The sequence below is a fragment of the Homo sapiens genome, chromosome 2, assembly GCF_000001405.40.
Source record: "Homo sapiens chromosome 2, GRCh38.p14 Primary Assembly".
NCBI classification, from domain to species: domain Eukaryota; kingdom Metazoa; phylum Chordata; class Mammalia; order Primates; family Hominidae; genus Homo; species Homo sapiens.
Window position 1 is genome coordinate 227,755,765 of NC_000002.12, and position 16,515 is coordinate 227,772,279.

At 46.0% G+C, this 16,515-nt stretch overlaps 1 pseudogene, besides 2 other annotated features; it reads right to left on the reverse strand.

The window, feature by feature from the left end:
* Window positions 1,028–1,901: an enhancer, noted in NCBI's record as "OCT4-NANOG-H3K27ac hESC enhancer chr2:228621508-228622381 (GRCh37/hg19 assembly coordinates)". NCBI's record gives its function as "activates a minimal SCP1, AML or CMV promoter by ChIP-STARR-seq in naive H9 embryonic stem cells {active_cell/tissue: H9 hESC(naive)}" and the evidence as "EXISTENCE:reporter gene assay evidence [ECO:0000049][PMID:30033119]".
* RNA5SP121 (RNA, 5S ribosomal pseudogene 121) lies at window positions 7,288–7,388 on the reverse strand (annotated as a pseudogene).
* Window positions 10,596–10,645: an enhancer, noted in NCBI's record as "active region_17203". NCBI's record gives its function as "activates an Ori minimal core promoter by ATAC-STARR-seq in GM12878 lymphoblastoid cells {active_cell/tissue: GM12878}" and the evidence as "EXISTENCE:reporter gene assay evidence [ECO:0000049][PMID:35858748]".

Consider the following 16,515-nt stretch of genomic DNA (forward strand, 5'->3'; position numbering starts at 1 on the left):
AAGCATGGCAAATTCAAAAAATAAAAAAGTATATGGAATGTAAAGCAAGATGTGTCTTCATCTCACCACTAATCTCATTTCTGCTCCTATAGTCACAGTCATGACAGGATGGGGCTGGCCACCAGCAAGACTAAGTGATTAGAGAGTGGGCACTTTCAGCTCTGCCCTCTGACCTCCAGGGAGTGGACCAGGGCTGGAGATGGAGCTCTATCCACCTTTTGAACAAAAAGATTCTGAGAGCTTCTGGGTTGGTGAATGCTCCAACTACCCAGGGACAAAAACTCCTGCACATATAGATACTTGCACGTTTAGAAACATAACTTAGCGGGCTTTTTTTTTTTTCAATATAGCAGCGGAATCAAGATGTAGTTATTTTTCAGAAAGTTGATTATTTTTCAATTAGCATTTTGCTTTAGAGCTCTTTCCAGGCCAGTTTGTGTAGATCTACCTTACGCTTTGTTCATTTTTTGAGAGTCTTGCTCTGTTGCCCAGGCTGGAGTGCAGTGGCACAATCTCAGCTCACTGCAACCTCTGCCTCCCAGGTGATTCTCATGCCTCAGCCTCCCAAGTAGCTGGTATTACAGGCGCCTGCCACCACACCCAGCTAATTTTTCTCTTTTTAGTAGAGACAGGGTTTCATCATGTTGTCCAGACTGGTCTCTGACTTCTGACCTCAAGTGATCCTCCTGCCTCCGCCACCACACCCAGCTAATTTCTCTATTTTTAGTAGAGAGAGGGTTTCATCATGTTGTCCAGACTGGTCTCCAACTTCTGACCTCAAGTGATCCTCCTGCCTCGGCCTCTCAAAGTATTGGGATTACAGGCGTGAGCCATTGTGCCCAGCCAGCTCTCTCTTTTTATGTCAGGGTTTCTCAGTCTTGGCTCTACTGACTTTGTGGGCTGGATAATTCTTTGTTGTAGGAGACTGTCTTGTGTTTTGTAGTGTTAACTAAAAGGTATCTGATACGGACCTCAATCAGTTTAGAAGTTTATTTTGCCAAGATTAAGGACATGCCCGGAAGAAAAAAACATGGAATCACAGAAGCAGCCTGTGGCTTGTGCCTTTCTCCAACGATACATTTGAGAGCTCCAATATTTAAAGGGGAAAAGTGAGCTGGAGGGGAAATAGGGAGGGTACGGTAATCCACATGTTGCAAGAGAAAAGGAGTAGGTAAGGAAATAGTCAATTACGCATTCGTCTTGTCCTCAGTAAATCAGCACTTTACATAAGATACGGTGGCTGGGCGTGGTGGCTCACACCTGTAATCCCAGCATTTTGGGAGGCTGAGGAGGGCAGATCACGTGAGGTTAGGAGTTCAAGACCAGCCGGGCCAACATGGTGAAACCTTGTCTCTACTAAAAATACAAAAATTAGCCAGGCATGGTTGTGCATGCCTGTAATCCCAGCTACCCAGGAGGCTGAGGCAGGAGAATCACTGGAACCTGGGAGGTGGAGGTTGCAGCAAGCTGCACCACTACACTGCAGCCTGGGCGACAGAGCAAGACTCTGTCTCAAAAAAAAAAAAGTTCCCACCATCTAATCACTTAGTCTTGCTGGTGGCCAGCCCCATCCTGAGGCCATCTAGGGGTTCTTCCCTAAGTAACCTTATTAGCATAAACGCAGGTAGGATTGAAAGGGGCCTCTTACAAATAACAAAAGACACTTTTTTCTTTGAGATTCGCCTGCCTTGGCCTCCCAAAGTGCTGGGATTACAAGCGTGAGCCATCTCGCCCAGGCACAAAAGACGCTTCTGTCACTCAGCAAATTTTAAAGGTCTTATGAGTTCTGTGCCAGAAACAAGGGACAAACCCCAACCATGCGTTTTATGACACTGCCTTCTATAAGAAGCAGAGAGGTGCTTTAGTAGAGACAGGGTAGCAAATGGCAAGAGATGAGGTCTGAGAGCTAAGAGGACCAGGTCAAGAAGGAATGAAGTTAAAGAATTTCTGCTTTAGATTCCTGAATATTTCTCTATGGTAGATGCTAAAAATGGATGTCTCAGGTTGAAATTTAAATTCTGATAGGCTCACCTAAGTTGCTACAATTTGAACTCGTGCTAATGGCATCTGAATTGCCCATTTCTCACTCTTGTTAACACTGGGTATTTCTCTTGCCAATCTGGAAGGAGCATGAGGCACTTCCTTGAGTGTCAGGGATCCCAGGCTCATTTCCTCATGTAAATTCCTCATCACTGCTCCTTTTTCTGGCAATTGCTTGTTCATATGTATTAAGCAGAGATAACGAACCTCTGTGTTACTTTGCTCATCTGTAAAATGGGGACAGTAATATCTTCCAACAACGTTGTTCTGGAGAGAAAATTGTGTATGTCCCTTGCAGAGAGCTTTGAGAGGTGCCTGGCCCAGGCCCAGGGGACGTACTCTGTGCATGGGGTGCTAGTACTGTTGAACACTCCTGTGATTACCATGTGCTGATTTTTTATTTATTTATTTATTTTTAGACAGAGTCTTGCTTTGTCGCCCAGGCTGGAGTGCAGTGGCGCGATCTTGGCTCACTGCAAGCTCCACCTCCCAGGTTCACGCCATTCTCCTGCCTCAGCCTCCCGAGTAGATGGGACTACAGGCGCCCGCCACCTCGCCCGGCTAATTTTTTGTATTTTTATTAGAGACAGGGTTTCTCCTGACCTCGTGATCCGCCTGCCTCGGCCCCCCAAAGTGCTGGGATTACAGGCGTGAGCCACCGCGCCATGCCTACTATGTGCTAATTAATGGGAGGGATGGCCTTCCTGGCATTGGCCGAGAGCAGAGTTTTGAGGGGTGACAAGTGGCAGGATCCCATCACATCCACAGGTGGCCTCGACTCTGGTCTTTTTGCCAGGTTCGTCTCTGCAATAAATCTGAACCCATCTGGCTCAATCCCCGTAGACGTTAAGGTTGTTCAAATTCTATTTCTTCTAATCCAGTGCTGACCAAGGAACACTTTCTTTTTTTTTTTTTTTGAGATGAAATCTCACTCTTGTCCCCCAGGCTGGCGTGCAATGGTGTGATCTTGGCTCACTGCAACCTCTGCCTCCTGGGTTCAAGTGATTCTCTTTCCTTAGCCTCCCGAGTAGCTGGGATTACAGGTGCCTGCCACCACGTCTGGCTAATTTCTGTATTTTTAGTAGAAACGGGGTTTTACCATGTTGGCCAGGCTGGTCTTGAACTCCTAAACTCAGGTGATCTGCCTGCCTCGGCCTCCCAAAGTGCTGGGTTTACAGGTGTGAGCCACTGCACCCAGCCAGGGAAAGCTTTCATAATTGTTAGATCTTTCAGTAAGTAGAGTTTATTTTAATTAACTAAATAATTAAGTAATTGCTTTTAAGAGGATACCCTTGTCAGAGGATTTAAGAGTTGGCTTGCTTTGGGAGTTAGTTTAAAGAAAAAAAAAAATGGGCGGGTGTGGTGGCTCACGCCTATAATCCCAGCAATTTGGGAGGTCGAGGCGGGTGGATCACCTGAGGTCAGGAGTTCGAGACCATCCTGGCCAACATGGTGAAACCCCATCTCTACTAAAAATACAAAAATTAGCCAGTCGTGGTGCCGGGCACCTGTAATCCCAGCTACTTGGGAGGCTGAGGCATGAGAATTGCTTGAATCCAGGAGGCGGAGGTTGCAGTGAGCTGAGACTGCGCCATTGCACTCCAGCCTGGGCAACAAGAGCAAAAACTCTGTCTCAAAAAAAAAAAAAAAAAAAGATCCCTTCTGTAAGGTCCTCTGAACAGGCTTCACCACAGTAGAGCCATTGTGACCCCTGTGACCCACACGTACAGGCTTCCTGGAGTCACAAAGCCTGGATCAATAGCAGAACCACTAAAGAAGGAGAAACAGCTACTTCCTGCCTTAACTGATAACCAACCTTGCAAAATTCCACCATTGTGTTATGTTCCCGCCCTACCCTAACTAATCAATCAACCTTGTGATATTGTGCCTTGTGACGTCCCCCCACCTCATGACTATGCACCTTGTGACATTCTTCCCCTTCCCGAAAAAACTCCTAACTGTAACTTTCCACTACTTAACCCTTACCTGTAAAACTAACTCCAATCCCACCACCCCTCCGCTGCTTCTCTTTCTGGACTCAGCCTGCTCGCACCCGAGTGAATAGACAGCCTTGTTGCTCACACTTAGCCTGTTCAGGGTGTCTCTTCAATTAGACGCACGCATAACAACTTCTGGCCTAACTGCCTTGTCTGGGCTTGGTAGCCTGAGTCACTGTTTCAGGCCTGAATGCCTCTGGGCTTCTTTCTAACCCCGCTGAATTCCTACACGGACCTCAGACGGATGCAGCTCTCCCTAGGTACAGCCATTGTAAGGTCCCAGCCGGGTACCCCACCCATCAGCTTTGCTGGGTGCATTTTCACCCTGCTCTTGTTCCATGCCTCTTTAACTGTGACACGAGGAGTGAGGCAATGGTTTTCATATGGATATCAGCATTTCTCCTCTGGAATTCATCGTCATTTGAAGGCTTCTGTGCTTCTCTCTCTCTCTCTCTTTTTGAGACTGAGTCTCGCTCTATTGCCCAGGCTGGAGTGCAGTGGTGCAGTCTCGGTTCACTGCAATCTCTGCCTGCCAAGTTCAAGCGATTCTCCTGCCTCAGGCTCCCAAGTAGCTGGGATTACAGGCACCCGCCACCATGCCAGGCTAATTTTTGTATTTTTAGCAGTCTATCATCTTAACCACTCGGCCACCTCGTCCTACAATTTTTGTGTTTTTAGTAGAGACAGGATTTCACCATGTTGGTCAGGCTGGTCTTGAACCCCTGACCTCAAATGATCTGCCTGCCTTGGCCTCCCAAAAAAGTGCTGGGATTACAGGCATGAGCCACCACACCTGGACTATTTTTTTTTTTTTTTTTTCGAGACAAAGTCTCATTCTGTCACCCAGGCTGAAGTGCCGTGGCAGGATCTCAGCTCACTGCAAGCTCCGCCTCCCAGGTTCAAGTGATTCTCCTGTCTCAGTCTCCCTAGTAGCTGGGACTATAGGGGCCCACCACCATGCCCGGCTAATTTTTGTATTTTTAGTAGAGACAGGGTTTCACCATGTTGGCCAGGCTGGTCTCGAACTCCTGACCTCAAGTGATCCACCCGCCTCGGCCTCCCAAAGTGCTGGGATTACGGACGTGAGCTACCGTGCCCAGCTCTGTGCTTCTCTTTACCACAGCCTACAAACTCTGACGTAATCTAGTCCTCAACTACCAGCTTTCAGTGCACCCCTCTGCGCTGGACTGCAGCTCATCTCTTCTCAATCTTCCTTGCCTCAGGGCCTTTGCACCTACTGTTTCATCAGTTTAGAGTGCACTTTACCCCTATTTTGCACTTCTGGCTCCTTATCCCTCTGTCAGGTCTCACGGAGCCCTCTGCCCCATTACTGTCATCATTGTATTCCTTGCACATTGACATTATATATATTTGCCATTTATGATCTGTTTTCCTCCATATTTGGTGCAAATATCATGGAAATCTGTCTGGTTTAGCACTATATCCCCAGGGCTGGGACTAGCCTATGCTAATCAGTTACAAATTAGTAGAAAGAAAAACAAAACAAGAGTGACCTAATGTTTGCAGAAATTGGATCAGCAGTCCTAGTTCCCAAACACGCAGATACTGAGGCCCTGGTGTGGCCTTCAAGGGCTTCCCAAATCTTATGCCAGCTCTTTTTCTAAACTCAGTGTCTAACATTCCCCTTCATTCGAGCCATGTTTACATTAACCCACACACTTTCATCCACCATCTCTGCTGGTTAGATGGTTTGTTTCTCAGCCTGGAATACACTTTCTGCTACCCCCAGGCCAGCTTTCAGCACGTGGGATGCTGACCTCTCCATGTGTGTAGTTGACATCTCCACGTGGATGCAGTGCAACCTCATGATGCTATTTTATGAGTTAGCGAGAGTCCAAAAAAGGGGCCTTGCTGGGTGAGCCTGAAGCAGTTGATGAAGAAGATCAAGGTGTCCTTGATGTCCTTGCCATTGTCCTTGTTCTGCGGCTTAGGGTGGTGCGTGGGGGAAGGCTCTTCCTCTGGGTTCACTGGCTCGTGTGTTCCTTTTCTTTTTCAAAAGCCACTCCAGGAAAAGTCTTGATAGCAGAAGTCAGTTATTAAAAGCTGTGTAAATGTACTAAAGAGGACAGGTGCCAGACACATTTTCATTTAACATTTTACTCTCAACTGGGAACTGTTTGCCTTTGAAGGAATGTCAGGCACAGTTCCTAGTTGGGGCTGGAGCATTTTTGTGATGTTCTGCACAAGTTTTGGTCTAGAGAAGAAAGCTGGCTGCATGGATAGCATGAAGAATACCAATCCACTTGAGTAATAATTATGCAAAATCAGGTTTCAGGGCCCACTAGGTAATCATCCAACATTTCTGTGCTGACTCTTGCACATAGCACAAGAGAGTGAAGTATGCCAGATCCAGGAAAAGGCAAAGTTCAATAATTAGCTATAAATACAACTTTATAGCCATTTCCCCAGACTAAAGGGTAAAAGTTTAACAACTGGCTATAATTACAACTTTATTGCTACATCTCCAGACTCTATTTTTATAGGGAGAATAATGGCTTCTTCAATGATTAACACGGTTGATAGCTACTGCTCTGTCTTTGAAGAAGCACATGGTATTTCGTGGAAATGTGCGTATGTGTGTGTTTGTATCTTAAGTCAAACATTAACAAATAACACAGAAAGTCCCTTGTTTTCTTGTCTTGCACTTAGCCTTTTGCATCTCACTTACTTCTTTCTTTCCTTCTTTCTTTCTCTTTCTTTCTTTCTTTCTTTCTTTTCTTTCTTTCTTTCTTTCTTTCTTTCCTTCCTTCCTTCCTTCCTTCTCTCTCTCTCTTTCTTTCTTTCTCTCTCTCTCTTTCTCTGTCTCTCTCTCTCTTTCTTTCTTTCTTTCCTTCCTTCTTTCTTTCTTTCCTTCTTTCTTTCTCTCTTTCTTTCTTGACACAGAGTCTCGCTCTGTTGCCCAGGCTGGAGTGCAGTGGCACAATCTTGGCTCACTGCAACCTCCGCCTCCTGGGTTAAAGCAATTCTCCTGCCTCAGCCTCTCAAGTAGCTGGGATTATAGGCACCCACGACCATGCTCAGCTAATTTTTTGTATTTTTAGTAGAGATGGGTTTCACCATGTTGGCCAGGCTGGTCTCGAACTCTTGACCTCAGATGATCCATCCATCTACCCTCCTTGGCCTCCCAAAGTTCTGGGATTACAGGCGTGAGCCATCGGGCCCAGCTACATCTTGCTTATGTCTAAGGAAAACTACTGAATGGGGATCATTCTCCTGGCACGTACATGTGGGTATACAGTACCTTCTGTCTGAGTACTAACCAGGCCCGACCTTGCTTAGCTTCCTCAAACAGATGAAATCGGGCATGTTCAGAGTACTATGGCCATAGACTATATAGTGTCTTATATAAGATATAGCACATGTTATGTAAATAAATGATATTCACACAAAAATATGCATATCCTCCCCTCCACCCCATAGTTTTTGGGTTTACCTATCAGCTCTCAGAGTGGAGGACTGAAGGAAGCCCAGAAAGAAAAAATCAATTTAGGCCAGGTGCAGTGGCTCATGCCTATAATCCCAGCACACTGGGAGTCCAAGGTGGGTGGATCACCTGGTCAGTTCGAGACAAGTCTGGCCAACATGGTGAAACCTCGTCTCTACTAAAAATATAAAAGTTAGCCGGGCGTGGTGGCGGGCGTCTGTAATCCCAGCTACTCAGGAGGCTAAGGCAGGAGAATCCCTTGAACCTGGGGGACGGAGGTTGCAGTGAGCTGAGACCACGCCATTGCACTCCAGCCTGGGTGACAGAGCAAGACTCCGTCTCAAAAAAAAAAAAAAAATTCAATTTATATTGGAAGATCAAGGAAGGATTAGATTGGCGGGGGTGGGGGTGGGGTGGGGAAGGTGGGATCCTAAGAGAAGAAAGCCAAGACTGAGTTCTTTGGGAATTTGGGGGGAGTTTTGGGAGCCCTGGGAGAGATGAGGACCTCTGCCATGCTCTGACGGGGAGGCACAGTGAGACCAAGGGATGAGTATGTTGATAGTGCTTTTCTCTGGCTCCTACAATTTGCTGCCCATTTTGAACTTTGCTAAGAGAGTGCAGTGAAGATTCCTATTGCTCATTATTGTTTTCTTGGTTAACTGATTTTGTTTCTTTTTTCTTTTTTTCCTAGAAAATCATGAAACAAGGAATAAAACTATGATTTTGTACTGAGACCACAAGACAGCACAGTTTTACACAGACTGCACACACCCATCTCTCTGCCACTCTGTCTAGACTTTTAATTATTATTATTATTATTATTATTATTTTTGAGACAGTCTTGCTCTGTCGCTCAGGCTGGAGTGCAGTGGCACGATGATCTCGGCAGACTGCAACCTCCACCTCCTGGGTTCAAGCAATTATCCTGCCTTAGCCTCCTGAGTAGCTGGGGTTATAGGCACGTGCCACCACATCTGCCTAATTTTTATATATTTAGTAGAGACGGGGTTTCACCATGTTGGCCAGGCTGGTCTTGAACTCCTGACCTCAGGTGATCCACCTGCCTCGGCTTCCCAAAGTGTTGGGATTACAGGCGAGAGCCACCATGCCTGGCCTAAACTTATATTAATTTTATATTGCACAAATAGATTATGGTGATGGAGAAATTTATTCTCTGGAACTGGACAAAGTAGAAAGCAGACAGTCACAGTGAATCTCATCACCTAAAGGTGACCACTTTTGCATTTGGTGGCTATGCCTTCAGGTTTTTCCTAAGCATGTACAAATGTAAGTTGCTATTTGCAAATTGAGACTTTTGTTCTATATGCTATATATTTTTTGTGCAACTTTCTTTTCTTTTTTTTTTTTTTTTTTGAGACAGAGTCTTGCTCTGTCACCCAGGCTGGAGTGCAATGGTGCGATCTCAGCTCACTGCCACCTCTGCCTCCTGGGTTCAAGTGATTCTTCTGCCTCAGCCTCCCGAGCAGCTGGGATTACAGGTGCATGCCACCATCCCTGGCTAATTTTTTATATTTTAGTAGAGACAGGGTTTCACTGTGTTGCCCAGGCTGGTCTCGAACTCCTGAGCTCAGGCAATCTACCCGCTTCGGCCTCCCAAAATTCTGGGATTACAGGCGTGAGCCACCACACCCAGCCTTGCTTTTCTTACTTATTATTACAGTACTGCATGTCATTTCTGTTGTCTACACGTATCTTTTAGCAATTTTTGCAAAGTGTTCCATCTTATAGATTTACCACAATATTTTTAAAAATTTTTAAATGTTTACTGTAATTTATTTTATTTTTTTTGAGACGGAGTCTCACTCTATCACCCGGGCTGGAGTGCAGTGGCACCACTTGGCTCACTGCAACCTCTGCCTCTCAGGTTCAAGTGATCCTCCTACTTCAGCCTCCTGAGTAGCTGGGATTACAGGCATGTGCCGCCACACCCAGCTAATTTTTGTATTTTTAGTAGAGACAGGGTTTCACCATGTTGACCAGGCTGGTCTCGAACTCCTAACCTCCAGTGATCTGCCTGCCTCAGCCTCCCAAAGTGCTGGGATTACTGGAGTGAGCCACCGCACCCAGCTCACAATTATTTTTTAAGGTGAGGTCTTGCTATATATGGCCTAAACTGGACTCGAACTCTTGGGCTCAAGTGATCCTCCTGCCTGGGCATCTCAAGTAGCTGGGGCTACAGGTGCATGCCATTGTGCCTGGCTCCCACAATTTATTTATGTCACCAATAATGGGCATTTATGTTGTGTCTAATTTTTTGATATTGTAAACAATGCTGCAATGAGCATCCTTGAACATATAGACATGTAGATTCTACCAGAAACTACCCTTAAAGAAAAGATTTGTTTTTTTGTGGTGGTTGTCAGTGAAAGCACTACCCCAGTATCATGTGGCTCTGGAGGTCTCTGTGTCATTAAGTAACCTCAAAACCTGCAGCATATGGTTTTGAGTTATCTTAGTAATTCCCTCTTCTTTTATAATTGGAATTTGAGTGGAGAAAATTAAACAATACACATGTAATAACATCATTCTTTATCTGTTCCCTACTTAATATGTGATTTCTTTTATTGGCTGGAAAAAGTACATAGCTGCTGATTTATCTACTTCAAGTAGCAGGACAATATGCTTACCTTAAATAGTCAAATGTAGAAAAGAACAATGGTCCTGAAACACAGTCCACGCCGTCACAGGAAGAGGAGAGGCCTGAGACTATGAGGAGAGGGAGAGACCAGTGATCAAAACTGAGCTCTACAACAGTCCTCTCTGTTGGGGGAATTAAAAAGCAAAGGATTTGAACAAGTAATTCACAGATGGGGTAGTACAAATGGCCAGGAAACTTCTCAAATAACTTGGAAAACGTGAAACCCCAAGGATAGTGTTAAGAGACCGCTTTAAAGTGAGATTTCTGTTATTCATGTTTAAAATATGAAGTATTCATCAGTCTTCTGGAAGAGACTGACACACAAAAAATATAACAAGTAGCTTGTATTGATCTTTCACCAGGAGACTTTCTGAGAACTTTTCACATATTAGCTCATATAATCCACATAGCAACTTTATGAAGTAGACAGTTAATTATTTCCATTTTGTAGATAAAGAAAACAAGGCGCACAGAGGCATTCCGTGTTTTGTCCAGGGTCATTCAGTCCTTGGCAGAGCTGGCATTTGGGGTCAGGCAGCTGGGCTCCTGGGCCCGAGCGCTTAAACACTGCCTTGTGCTACCACCTGGTGGTCAAAAGCGATACACGCAACAATGGAGGTGAGCCCAGGCCAGCCAGGAGCCGGCTCCCTGGAGGATGTGAACTTGAAGCAGAAATCAGGAAAGACATTCCAGGGAGAGACAGCAGCACTCGCCAAGGCACAAAAACAGCAGTTACTGCTCCATGCATGAGGAGCAAGAGACAACTGGGAATGATAGCAAGAGGAGTAAAAAATAAAAAGAATTTCTTTTCTTTTTTTTTTTTAAAGAGCAAAGAATGATGTGTTAGGAGATTGAGTGGAGAGGTCAGCTGGGACCAGATGACGGGAGAGCTCCTAGTAAGGGGATTGGACTTTATTCTGAGGCTGATGGAAAGCCACTGAAGAGCTTTTAATCACGGCAGTCGGCCAGGCGTGGTGGCTGACACCTGCAATCCCAACACTTTGGGAGGATGAGGCAAGGGAATCGCTTGAGGCCAGGAGTTCTAGACCAGCCTAGGCAACATAATGAGACGCCCCCGTCTCCACAAAAATGAAACACCACACACACACACACACATATTAGCTGGGTGTGGTAGCATGCCTGTGGTCCCAGCTACTTAGGAGGCTGAGGTGGGAGGATTGCTTGAGCCCAGGAGATTGAGGTTGCAGTGAGCCTTGCACTCCAGCCTGGGAGACAGGGCCAGACCTTGTATGGAAAATTGATCAGTCGGCCGGGCGTGGTGGCTCGTGCCTGTAATCCCAGCACTTTGGAAGGCTGAGGCGGTCGGATCACCTGAGGTCAGGAATTCGAGACCAGCCTGGCCAACATAGTGAAACCCCGTCTCTACTAAAAATACAAAAATTAGCTGGGCATGGTGGCGCACGCCTGTAGTCCTAGCTACTCGGGAGGCTGAGGCAGAAGAATCACTTGAACCTGGGAGACGGAGGTTGCAGTGAGCTGAGATCATGCCACTGCACTTCAGCCTGGGCAACAGAGCGAGACTCTGTCTAATATATATATAATATATATATATATATATATATATATATATATAGATAGATAGATATAGATATAGATATAGATATAGATATATATCGATCAGTCATAATCAGTCAATCATGGCAGTGACCTGGGGAGAGTTACAGTTTGTATAAAGTCCCTAGTGACTGTGAGGAAAATGGATGTGGGGGACAAGGCCCAGGGAGACCAATGCAGAGCCGCCAGGAAAGAGCCTGCAAGTTCCCAAGTCACCAGGACCCCAGCGGTGACGGAGTGGGGAGAGCACAGGTTCAAGAAATATTTAGAAGGCAAAGCTGTCAGCACTTGGCGAATGAACGTGATGCGAAATGGACAGAGTGGGAGAAGCAGGCTACAGACACCAGGAAAAAGATCGTTCCAATCACTCTTTGGCTGTTCCGAGCCTTATAGCGGGATCCTCAACCAGGGGCCATTCCGCCCCCCAGGAGACAACCAGCTGTGTCTCGGACAGTTTTGCTGGTCACAGCAAGCGGCCGGGGTGGCGGTGCTAGAGGACGCTGCTAAACCCCCTTGGTGCACAGGGCAGGCCCCATGGGACGGGAATCCTGGGCTCGGGGCGCGGCTGCCTGGGTCCCCTCTGGCGGCGCCAGCTCCAGGAGGCAGGAAACGAGGAGGCCCTGGCTCACGGAGTGTGCTTTTACAGAAGCAAGCCCTGGCGCTCCGGGCAGATGTCCGGGGGTCTCCCGCAGACCCCTTGCCCTCCATGGAATCCCGTTCCTCCCAGGGTTCCCCTCCCCCATTTACCCCTCCAGGCTCCTGAGCGCTGAAAACTGCATTCTGCGGCCCAGACAAGGTTACCGTCTTACTGCCGGGAAGCCACTAGATACAGTTGCAGGCTAAAGGCAGTGTGATTCCCCTCAAGCAGGCCTTAGTTTATCGTAGGGCACGGGACGTGCCTCCTTCCCCAGAGTCTCCTTTTCAGGAGCTGCAGGGCCTCTAGGCTTCCCGGACTGCAGCTTTACCTGCCTGCCCCCAGCAGGATGGTCTTGGGGTCTATACCTGAGCCGAGATCTCGCCACTGCACTCCAGCCTGGGTGACAGAGTGAGACATCGTCAGAAAGAAAAAAAAAGGTCATCCATGAGAAGAATCGGTATTGCTGGATTCTGTTGATGTTTTTTATTTGCTTCTGATTATCTATGTTGGTTAAAGGTAAACACAAAATTTCATTTAGACAGGAGGACTAAATTCGCGCAGTCTATTGCATATCATAGTGACAAGAGTTAATCACAATATATTGTATACTTGAAAATTGCTGAGTAGATTTCAAGTGTCCTCAACACAAAAATGATAAGTATGCTAGGTAATGTTATATGTTTAATAGCTGATTTAGGCATTTCACAATGTATGCATATAGCAAAACATGTTATACACCATAAATACATACAATTTTTACTTGTCAATTAAAAATAAATAAAACAATAAATAAAAGAGTATATAAAAATTGTTGGAAATTGCTCATATGAGATTTGTTGTTGATCAATAACATTATTATACTCTAAACTCATTTATTTATTTAATTTTTGAGACGGAGTCTGACTCTATCACCCAAGCTGGAGTGCAGTGGCATCATCTCGGCTCACTGCAACCTCTGTCTCCCGAGTTCAAGTGATTCTCATGCCTCAGCATTCCGAGTAGCTGGGACTATAGGCGCACGTCACTACACCTGGCTAATTTTTGTATTTTTAGTAGAGACGGGGTTTTACCATGTTGGCCAGGCTGGTCTCAACCTCCTGGCTTCAAGTGATCCACCTGCTTCAGCCTCCCAAAATGCTAGGATTACAGGCATGAGCCACCTCGCCTGGCCCTAGGCTCATTTTATTAATGTGAAAATTCTTTAGGCCCCAGAAGCATATATTCTGGATAGAGTGCAAACAGATTCTGAGTGAGGCTTCTGGGGCCAAATTGGAGGGGAGGGGCTTGCCCTGTGCTCTGTACCCACTCTGACGCTTTCGACTTGTCAAAAGTTTGTCTTCATTCTTTTATCTTTAAATGAAAACACACTGGGGCTCACCATGTGGAAATTAATCGCATTTACCAGCGGAATTACTTTCCTTTTGTTCTGTATCAAATAAACACAAATTTGGTGGCCTAAAACAGCACACTGATTCTCTTACAGTTCCAAAGGCCAGAAGTTCAGAACCAGGCTCACTGGGCTAAAGTCAAGGTGTTCACAGGTCTGGTTCCCTTTGGAGGTTCTCAAGGGAGAGTTCGCCTCCTTGCCTTTTTTGGCTACTGGAGGCTTTGTGCACTCCTTGACTTAAAACCTCTTCCTCAAATCATTCCAACCTTTGCTTCCATTGTGACATCTACTTCCTCCTCTGTAGTCAAATCTTGATCTGTTTCTGTCCGATGAGGCCACTTCTGATTACATTTGAGTCCCACCCTGATAATCCAGAATACTCTTTCCATCTTTCCATTAACATCCTTAATCATCTGGGCTCAGTGGCTCATGCCTGTAATCCCAGGACTTTGGGAGGTTGAGGCAGGCAGATCACTTGAGGCCAGGAGTTCGGGACCAGCCTGGGCAACATGGTGAAACCCCATCTCTACTAAAAATACAAAAAAAATTAGCTGGGTCTGGTGGCACATGTCTGTAGTCCCAGCTACTCAGGAGGCTGAGGCAGGAGAATCACTTGAATCCAGGAGGTGGAGGTTGTAGTGAGCCGAGATCACACCACCGCACTCTAGCCTGGTGACAGAGCCAGACTCTTGTCAAACAACAACAACAACAAAAACCTTTATCACATCTGCAAAGTCCACTTATGGAAGGTAACATTCACAGGTTCCAGGGATTAAGACCTAGATATCTTTGGGGTCTTTTATTCAGCCAACCACAGCACATTCTCCTTTAACACAAATTAGATGACTCAGAGGATTGCGTTTAGTCTGGGGCAAAACCTCATAGAATCAGAAAATATTTGCAAAATATAAAGCTGATATAACTTCCCTCAAAGCAAATGTTTTGGCTGTGGGAAGGGTTATTTGGTCAAAGAAAATGATTCCTTTATAATTATTGAGGAATTCAACCCGTTAGCCAATAAAACATTTGTTTGCTAAAAATACGTTTTATTTGAATAGCAGCTTTTTTTTTTTTTTTTGAGACCGGGTCTAGCCCTGTCACCCAGGCTAACGTGCAATGGCACGACCTTGGCTCACTGCAACCTCTGCCTCCCAGGTTCAAGCAATTCTCCTGCCTCAGCCTCCTGAGTAGCTGGGATTACAGGCGTACGCCACCATGCCTGGCTAATTTTTTGTATCTTTAGTAGAGACGGGTTTCACCATGTTGGCCAGATTGGTCTCGAACTCCTGACCTCGTGATCCGCCTGCCTTGGCCTCCCAAAGTGCTGGGATTACAAGTATGAGCCACTGGGCCTGACCTTGAATAGCAGCTTTTTATTATAATTCATATTTTAATTTTATGTATTTTAAGAATAGGCTGGGCACAGTGGCTCATACCTGTAATCCCAGCACTTTGGGAGGCTGAGGCAGGTGGATCACTTGAGGTCAGGAGTTTGAGACCAGCCTGGCCAACATGGTGAAACTTCATCTCTACTAAACATACAAAAATTAGCCTGGTGTGGTGGCATGCGTCTGTAATCCCAGCTACCTGGGAGGCTGAGGCAGGAGAATCACTTGAACTCAGGAGGTGGAGGTTGCAGTGAGCTGAGACTGTGCCACTGAATTCCAGCCTGGGCAACAGAGCAAAACCCCGTTTCAAATAATAATAATAATAATAATAATAATAATAATAATAATAATAAAAAAAAACATTGTCATGATGACTTCTGCTAGTTTTCCCCAGTGTTGTATCATAGGTGTTTTCCCTAGAGTTTCCTCGGGTCTGAGATTTCCTTCTTTCTCCTTGTTTAACTGATCATGAATCGATTGAGCTTTGGGCTGCGTCAAAGTTCTGTTTTGCCTACAACAGTTCCACGGGGAACACGATTCTGCTGAAGAAAAAGACTGCTGGGTTCTGGAGGAGTATTTTACCTCCTCCTTGCTGGAAACAGTTAATGCCCTGGAGAATGTGGTCGATGGCCTCATGCAGGCGGAGGCATGTTTTAAAATGGGTAAATCTAGTTTTCTTCAGCAGTGGCATGAATCGTAGGAGATCTGCTCAAATGCTAACCAGCTAACTTCTCTGAGGCCAAATACTTGCTGTCTTCAGCCTCTGGTTCTTCATTATGAAGTGAAGGATTTTGTCAGGTTATCTGTAGCTTTCCTCCTTTTTCTCCCAGGCCGACATTCTTATAAGTTAAGTCTACTCTTAGAAGTTTCTCCACTAGCCAGGCGCAGTGGCTCACATCTGTAATCCCAGCATTTTGGGAGGCCAAGGCAGGTGGATCACCTGAGGTCAGGAGTTCGAGACTAGCCTGACCAACATGGTGAAACCTCGTCTCTACTAAAAATACAAAATTAGCCAGGTGTGGTGGTGCCCACCTGTAATGCCAGCTACTTGGGAGGCTGAGGCAGGAGAATTGCTTGAACCCGGGAGGCAGAGGTGGCAGTGAGATGAGATTGCCCCATTGCACTCCAGACTGGGCAACAAGAGTGAAAGTCTGTCTCAAAAAAAAAAAAAAGTTTCTCCACTACTTGGTGAAGGCCTTCTGGGTCATTACTGAGGACTTCTCTCTCTCTCTCTTTTTTTTTTTTTAGTAGAGATGAGGTTTCACCATGTTGGTCAGGTGGGTCTTGAACTCCTGACCTCATGATCCACCAGACTCAGCCTCCCAAAGGGCTGGGATTACAGGCACGAGCCATCACACCCGGCCTATTGAGACCCTTCTCTAGGCAG